The sequence below is a fragment of the Homo sapiens genome (genome assembly GCF_000001405.40).
Source record: "Homo sapiens chromosome 16 unlocalized genomic scaffold, GRCh38.p14 Primary Assembly HSCHR16_RANDOM_CTG1".
Taxonomy (NCBI): Eukaryota; Metazoa; Chordata; class Mammalia; order Primates; family Hominidae; genus Homo; species Homo sapiens.
The window spans coordinates 132,036-140,717 of NT_187383.1; the positions used below are offsets into that span (position 1 = coordinate 132,036).

General features: G+C 36.9%; 1 pseudogene; it reads left to right on the plus strand.

The window, feature by feature from the left end:
• The first annotated feature begins 5,299 nt into the window (after positions 1–5,299).
• LOC102723689 (actin-related protein 3B-like) lies at positions 5,300–6,673 on the plus strand (annotated as a pseudogene).
• The last annotated feature ends 2,009 nt before the right edge of the window (positions 6,674–8,682 follow it).

Here is an 8,682-nt window from a genome sequence, read left to right on the forward strand (position 1 = left end):
TTGATTTGGACACAGGAAGTCAAATGAGTTCTAATCATGATTAAGTAAAAATAGATACTTAGATAAAATGTTGAGAAACTATAGACTACCAAAGGCAAAAATAAAATCTTAAATAATCTAGACAGAGAAAGAGAGATTAATCATAATTGAATAAACAATAGAGCAGATTCTCAATTCTTATCAGCAACAATAGAAGATGGAAGATAATTAAATAAAGTCTTCAAAGTACAGAGATAAATAAAACATTCAGTGTTGAATTCTGTAGCCAGTTAACTGTCACTCGAACAAAAGACAAATGAAAGATATTGTCAAACAAATACATTTAAGAACATATGCCATTTTTTACCAGGGAAAAATCTACTGAAAGATATGCTTTAGAAATATGACATAGAACCAGAAAAGACGGAACAATGTGCAAAGAAATTGGTAAAATGTAGGTTAGTCTAAACAAGTATTTGTTGTGTAACACATTACTAATGAAAATTGTTAATCAGAGGATATAAAGATAAGGTTGGGAGGTGACATGAAAAGGTTGGCAATTTATTTCCACACCAAAACTCCCCCCAAAAATTGCAGAAATACCAAAAACAATAATTTCAGGACCCTGAAAACTCATCAAAGGCAGTTATCAAATTTAAGAAGCATTTATTCTTGAAAAAAGTGTTAGGGTTTTGGGTAGGATTGGTAAAAGTCTGAGCCCTTCCTGACGGGGGTTTCTCCCTGATATAGTTTGGCTTTGTGTCCCCATCCAAATCTCATCTTGAATTGTACTCCCATAATTCCTATGTGTTGTGGGAGGGACCTCGTGGGAGATAATTGAATCATGGGGGTGGTTCCCCCCCATACTGTTCTCGTGGTAGTGAATAAGTCTCACAAGATCTGATGGCTTTATCAGGGGTTTCCGCTTTTGCATCTTCCTCATTTTCTCTTGCCACCACCATGTAAGAAGTGCCTTTCACCTCCTGCCATGATTCTGAGGTCTCCTCAGCCACCTGGAACTATAAGTCCAATTAAGCCTCTTTTTCTTCCCAGTCTTGGGTATGTCTTTATTAGCAGAATGAAAACAGACTAATACACTCCCATCTCTCTTCTCACCCCCAAGCTCAGTTGGGGAAAACTGTAGTTTTACCAGTTTGAAGCTGGATGTAAAACCCAGCAGCTTTCCTGTTAGGGCTGGGGGCACGGGTGGATTTGGTATGGAGCAGAGGGAAGAAATCAATGGTTTTGCCAGTTAAATATAGCAGAGTGGTTTGGGAATGAACAGAGAGAATTGCAGATTTGCTAGTCTGAGGTTGCAGTTTCAACTGGGGAAGTGGAAGACAAGACAAAAATTTAAGTGAGAGATCCTGAGGGTCAATAGGTGCAGCAAACCACCATGGCACATGTATACCTGTGTAACAAACCTGAATGTTCTGCACATGTATCCTGGAACTCAAAGTGAAAGAAAGAAAGAAAGAAAGAAAGAAAGAAAGAAAGAAAGAAAGAAAGAGAGAGAAAGAAAGAAAGAGAGAAAGAAACAAAGAAAGAGAGAGAGAAAGAAAGAAAGAGAGAGAGAAAGAAAGAAGAAAGAAAGAAAAAGGAAGAAAGAAAGAAAGAAAGAAAGAAAGAAAGAAAGAAAGAAAGAAAGAAAGAGAAAGAAAGAAAGAAAAGAAAGACCCACATGCTAGGCTAGAGTTTTCCAGTTCCAAGTTCCAATTCTCTCACTGAGAAGAGTGGCTCACTGTGCCTAAACTGTTTATACAAACAATGTGGTTTACTCTGAACAGCTGCTTTTCCTCTGAGAGTCTGGAATTCTGGTACATGTGAAGGAGAGTAACCTCCGTAAAATCCTGAGAACTGAGTCTCTAATGAGACTCTGGTCCTGGTAGATGACATTGCACATGTGCTGTCAAAATTTCATGCTGGGAAAGAGAAACACATCCTTGTAACTCCACAGGAGATGATTCCAAGAAGCTCATACCTGGTATCCTCCAGACTTTACCACATACAACTTTTTCCCTTTGCTAATTCTGCTTTGTATCCATTCACTATAATAAATTAAAAACCTGAGTATTACTAAAAAAAAAAAAAAAGAGAGAGAGAGAAATCCTGGAAAGGAGAGAATCATAAAAAGTCTGAGAAAAGTTCTCCACACATACTGCCGATTGGAAAAGTATGGAAGTGCAGGAAAGACTCAAGATAGTATGACAAAAAGTAAAAATGAAGTAAGACTTGAGTATTAATTGCAACTTTGAATGCATTCACCCACCCACCCACAGATTATTTGGCAGAGAGTGGAAGCCTTACTACTAGCTTTAATATAATGTCTCTCAAAAATCAAGCTATGCAACAGACACAAAGGAAATCCCTAGAAAGACAGGCTAAAACAACAATAACAACAACAACACAATATAAAAGACATCAATGCTGAAAACCACTGGGCAGAAGGATTACACAGCACAAGTATAGGCCAATTACCAAAACATAACAACAACAAAGACAATAACAAATAAAAACCAAATCCAGATTTGCTATAATGTGTAATTAAAGTGTTTAGTTTTCAATTAAAAATTATCAGACATGTAAGGAAACAGGAAAATATGGCTTATACTCTGGAAAAAAAGCAGTGAATAGAAACTGTCTCAATTCAGATATTGGATTTAGAAAGAAAGTTTTCAAAGTATATATTATAAATATGTTCAAATTAAAAATATGATAAAGTGCTGTCTAATAGAGAATACGAATAAGGAGACAGAATATGTTTAAAAATAGAATCTAGAATTGAAAAGTACAACAGTTAAAGTGAAAAAATCACTAGCGAGGTTCAATAGCATATTTGACCTTGTGAAAGAAAGTATCAGTGAACTTGAAGATAGGCCAATAGAGGTTAATCAATCTGAAGAACAAAAAGAAAAAAGAATGAAGGATAATAAACAGATCCTCAGAAACTTATGGGATACCATCAAGAGCACTACCATATGCATAATGGGAATTCCAGGAGAAGAGAGAGATAAGAGGACAGAAAAATATTTGAAAACATAATGTCTGAAAACTTCAAAAATGCTACAAAAAACATTAATCTTCAGATATAAGAAGGCCAACAAATCTCAAGTAGGATAAACACAAAGAGATTCACACCTAGAGCCATCCTTGTCAAATTGGTGAAAACCAAGGATAATAAGAAAATCATGAAAGTAGCAAGGGATGACTTATCACATACAGGGGAACAATAATATTATCAATACTGGCATTTTTATCTGAAAAAAATGGAGGCCTTATGAAGCGACATTTCAAAAGTGGAGGGAAAAATAACTGTCAATTAAAAATTCTGTATCCATTAAAATGATCCTTCAAAAATGGAGCTGAAATAAAGACATTTCCAGATAAATAAAAATAAAGAGAACTTATCCTTGCTAAAGAAACACTAAAGAAAATGCTTTTAAGATAAAAGGATATGACACCAGATGGCAACTTGAACCTATAAGGAATAAATGGCACGGGAAATGGTAAATAAATTTGTAAGTATAAAAGATTGTATGTGGGCCGGGCGCAGTGGCTCACGCCTGTAATCCCAGCACTTTGGGAGGCCGAGACGGGCGGATCACGAGGTCAGGAGATCGAGACCATCCTGGCTAACACGGTGAAACCCCGTCTCTACTAAAAATACAAAAATTAGCTGGGCATGGTGGCGCGTGCCTGTAGTCCCAGCTACATGGGAGGCTGAGGCAGGAGAATGGCGTGAACCCGGGAGGCAGAGCTTGCAGTGAGTCGAGATCGCGCCACTGCACTCCAGCCTGGGCGACAGAGCGAAACTCCGTCTTAAAAAAAAAAAAAAGATTGTATGTGTGTGTGTGTGTGTATTCTGATTTCATCTCTTTTTTTAAAAAAATCATCTGATTATTATAGGCAATAACTATAACAATACTGCTGAGTTCATAGCATATAAGAGATACATTGATCAAAGTTGCTATATAACACTGGAATTAAGTAAAAATTACTAAACCAAAGTAGATTGTAAAAAGTGAAGATGATTGATTATTATAATCCCCAAAGGTAGTTGGGAGGCTGAGATAGAAGTACTGCTTGAGGCTAGGAGTTTGAGACTAGCCCGAGCAACACAATGAAACTCTGTTGATATAGTTTGGATATGTGTCCCTGCCCAAATCTCATGTTGAATTGTAATCCCCAAAGTTGGAGATAGGTCCTGCTGGGAGGTGAATGGATCATGGGGGCAGATTTCTCATGAATCGTTAGTACTGGCTAATTTGGTATTTTTAGTAGAGACAGGGTTTCTCCATGTTGGTCAGGCTGGTCTTGAACTCCTGACCTCAGGTGATCCACCCGCCTCAACCTCCCAAAGTGCTGGGATTACAGGCAGGAGCCATCGTGACTGGTCTAAGTTTTACTTTCTAAAAATTATATTAAAATTTATATTTCTCTATTATCTAATCATAAATTATATCAAATATGCTGTTTTGAATTTTATTTTTCCCTTTAAACGTAAAGACACACATTCAGTTCATTGTGCTAGATAAATTACCAGTGTGATCACAAATTAAGAAATGCAATTCAAAGAATTTTGCATACAAGGAGTCCTGAAAGTGTTAATAATTTTTGATGCAAAGATAATTTTATGAAAGTAATAGAAGACTAAAAAAAGGTACAAAACAATTATTATGTAAGTATCTTCCTTTTTCTGAATCACCCATGATTACTTTTTCCACTAAGCAAAAACTGACTACATACTTCAGACCTGTCTCAAATCTCCCCAGCCTCTTTTCCTAAACCTCCCCAGCCTCTCAGGACAGACAGGATGCTCCTGTACTTTGTGCATTCTGCTATTTTTAGCAAGAGGCCTATTTTGTCGGTGTTGTCTGAATAGTATTTGCCGACTCTCAGACTTTCAGTCACTTATTTGTTTATTTATTTATTTATTTGTCTCCTTTTCTTGTATTTCCCTTTTCCTTTTCTTTCCTTTCTTTTTCCCTTTCCTCCTCCCTTCCTTTGCTTACTTATTTTTTCCCTTTAATTCCCATTCACTATTTCCATGACTGCCAAATAGTAGGTTGATCCTTTAAAATATTCCTTTTTTAAAATTTATTGTACTTTAAGTTCTGGGATACATGTGCAGAACGTGCAGGTTTGTTACATAGGTATACACGTGCCATGTGGTTTGCTGCACCTATCTACAATATATCTTAAAATGAATAAAAGTGGAAACACACAGGAGACAGGGTGTATGGGGTGAGTGGGTTGCCAAGTGGATGGTGGCAGGGTGCTCCAGGGTGGCCAGTGGGGCTAAGTGTTGTGTATTCCAAGCATGGCGGGGTTCCTGCCTTCCTGTGTGGCAGACTGTGGCATCAGGTAAGAGCCACTCAGTGCCCACCCTGGCTCCTCCATTGCCTTGCTCTCAGCCCCTGACATCCAGCCCACACCTGGAGATTGAGTTGTACCCACTGCTCTGGGTCTCAGCCCTGTGATCACCTCAGTAGATATTCTGAGCTTGGCTATGCAGGCAACACTGAGCCATAGTTTACTATTCTTTTATGCATTTCTATCAGAGAGTCAGCAAAGGTAGTTGACAAAGCCCAAGGGAGAATGTTGAGGGGAGTTGATGACCTTGACTTTTTCATACAGGATGAAGCCATTGATAAATATGTATGCTTCAAAGTGGTCAATATGACATGGAATCACTGAAGACTGGGATATTATGGAAAGGTTCATGGAGCAAGTGGTTTTTAAATATCTTTGAGCAGAATCTGAGGACCATTATTTTTTAATGACAGAACTTCCACTGAATACACTAGAAAATACAGAGCATTTTTGCAGAAATTATGTTTGAACTATTTAATGTACCAGGATTCTACATTGCAGTTCAGGATGTACTAGCCTTGGAAGTATCTTGGACATCTCAACAAGTGGGTGAATATATGTTAATGAGTACAGTCATTGACAAAGGAGATGGAGTCACCCTTGTTCTCCCAGTTGTAGAAGGTTATGTAATTGAGAGCTGCATCAATCACATCCTGATTGTAGGTGATACTGTGTATTTCATTCAACAACTGCTAAGGGAGAGGGAGGTAGGAATCCCTCTTGAGCAGTCACTGGAGACCACAAAAGCCATTAAGGAGAAATACTGTTACTTTTGCCCTGATATAGTCAAGGAATTTGCTAAGTATGATGTGGATCCCTGGAAGTGGATCAAACAGTACACAGGTATCAATGTGATCAACCAGGAGAAGTTCATAATAGACGTTGGTTACAAAAGGCTCCTGCAACCTGAAATATTTTTTTACCCAGAGTTTGCCAACCCAGACTTTATGGAATCCATCTTGAATATTGTTGATGAATACAAAACTGTCCCATTGATGTGCATTGTCCACTGTATAAGAATGTTGTTCTTTCAAGGGGTTTGGCCATATTCAGGGATATGAATCTCAACTACAGAGAGATTTGAAGAGTGGTACATGCCAGATTAAAACTCAGTAAGGAGCTCAGTGGCAGGATAATCAAACCTAAGCTTACAGAGGTCCGGGTGGTAATCCGTCACATGCAGCACTATGCCTTATGGTTTGGAAGCTTAATGCTAGCCTCAACTCTGGAGTTATTTCAGGTCTGTCACACCAAGAAGGACTATAAAGAATATGGCCCCAGCATCTGCCACCAGAGCCTTCTCTTTGGAGTAATGTCTTAGTGTCTGCCTTGAAAGCATCATTTAATAGTGTCATGTTGGGGAACGAGTGTCCTTCAGAACCCAGAGAAGACTACCATTTCTAAATGACATTTGGTGTTGATGTCTGAGCAGCATGCTTGCATCACCTAGTGCATGAGGCACAGGGCAGAGTCATTTCAGTAAAAACCATTTCTTTATGTGTTGACTGTTGTATGCCCACTCCTTCTTCTCTCACTCCCTTTCTTCATGCTTCCCCAGTTTCCCTCCTCCTTTTCACTTGAACTTTTTTGTTGACAAATACCATTCTGAAGGAATTCAAATGTGACTCTGAAAATTGTTAAGAGGAAAAAAAATTTCAAAAATGGCCCAAAATAGTTCTCCCCCAGGAAAGAATGCAGTGGTATAAATCCTTTTCCCCCAGCCTATTTTTATAAATAAAATGTTATAAACTTAAAATACAAAAAACCAAAAACATAGCAATATTTACAGGATGCAATTAAAGCAGAGTATAGAGGAAAATGTATAGCTTTAAAAACAGAAAGAAAAAATAATCTAAAATTGATAATCAAAACTTCCATCTTAAGACTCTAGAAAAAGATGAGTAAACCAAGCCGAAAGTAAGTAGGATGTATGAAATAAAAATGTCACAGTGGAAAACGAGAAATACAGAACAGGATAACGTTAAAAACAACCAAAGAAACCCAAAATTGCTTATTTCAGAAAGTCAAGAAGATAAATAATATTTAGTTAAATTGACCAAGAAAAAAGAAAGAAGACACTAATCCCAAAATCAAGAATCAAAGAGAAATATCACCACAGACCCTACCCTTAAAAGGATGTTAAGAAAATAGCATAATAACTTTAAGGCAAAAAATTTGACAACTTAGATAAAATAGAACAATTCCTTGAAAGACACAAATTACCAAAACTGACTCAAGGAAAAAGAAAAAAAAACAAATACCAATATCAAGTAAAGAAATTGCATCAGTAATTTCAAATCTTCCTATAGAGAAAAAATATACTTCACTGGTGAATTCTATCAAACTACTAAGGGAGGAAATAATACCAATGTTACAAAAACTTTATTCAGCAAATAGAGGATGAAGGAAACTTCCCAACTAACCTTATTTCATTTGATATCAATATTACCCTGATATCAAAACAAGACAAAGACATTACAAGCAAACACAGCTATATACCAATATCCCTTGTGAACCTAGACATAAAAATTCTTAACCAAATATTAGCAAATGTAATTGAGCAACATATGAAAAGGATTTTATACCATAATCAAATGAAGTTTATCTCAGGAATGTGAGGTTGACTTAACATCCGAAAATCAATGTAATAAACTATATTAACAGAATAAAGGACAAAACCATATGATCACCTCAATAGATGCAGAAAAGCATTTGACAGAATTCAACAATCATACATTAAAAAAAATCTCATCAACTTATGAATAGAAGGGAACTTCTTCAAATGATCAAGGCATCTACCAGAAGCTTATAGCCAACATATTTAATGGTAAGAATGTGCTTCCCTCTAGATTAGGAAACATGCAAAGATATCTGTGTTTACCACTTCTATTTAACAATGCACCACAGGTCTTAGTTTGTGCAATAGTCAAGGAAAAAAGGTATGGAAAAAAGACAACTCTTTTTATTGTTAGCCTTGTATGCAGAAAATCCTAAGGAACATACCCACACACACACCCACATACCACACCCCCTCCCAGACTTACTAGAACTAAGAGGGGGGCTTAGTAAGTTTGTAGAGTATATGATCAATATACAAAAATTGGTTATATATATAGTAGCAACAAACAATACAAAGATGAAATAAAGAAAACAATTCCAATCACAATAGCATCAAAAATAAATGTCTTAGTTTGTTTTATGTTGTTATAATAGAATACCTGAGACTGTACGAAGAGGTTTATTTAGCTCATGTTTCTCCAGACTGGGAAGTTCAAGAAGCATGGCACCAGTATCTGCTTAGCTTCTGGTGAGGGCTTTAGCAGTGCATCA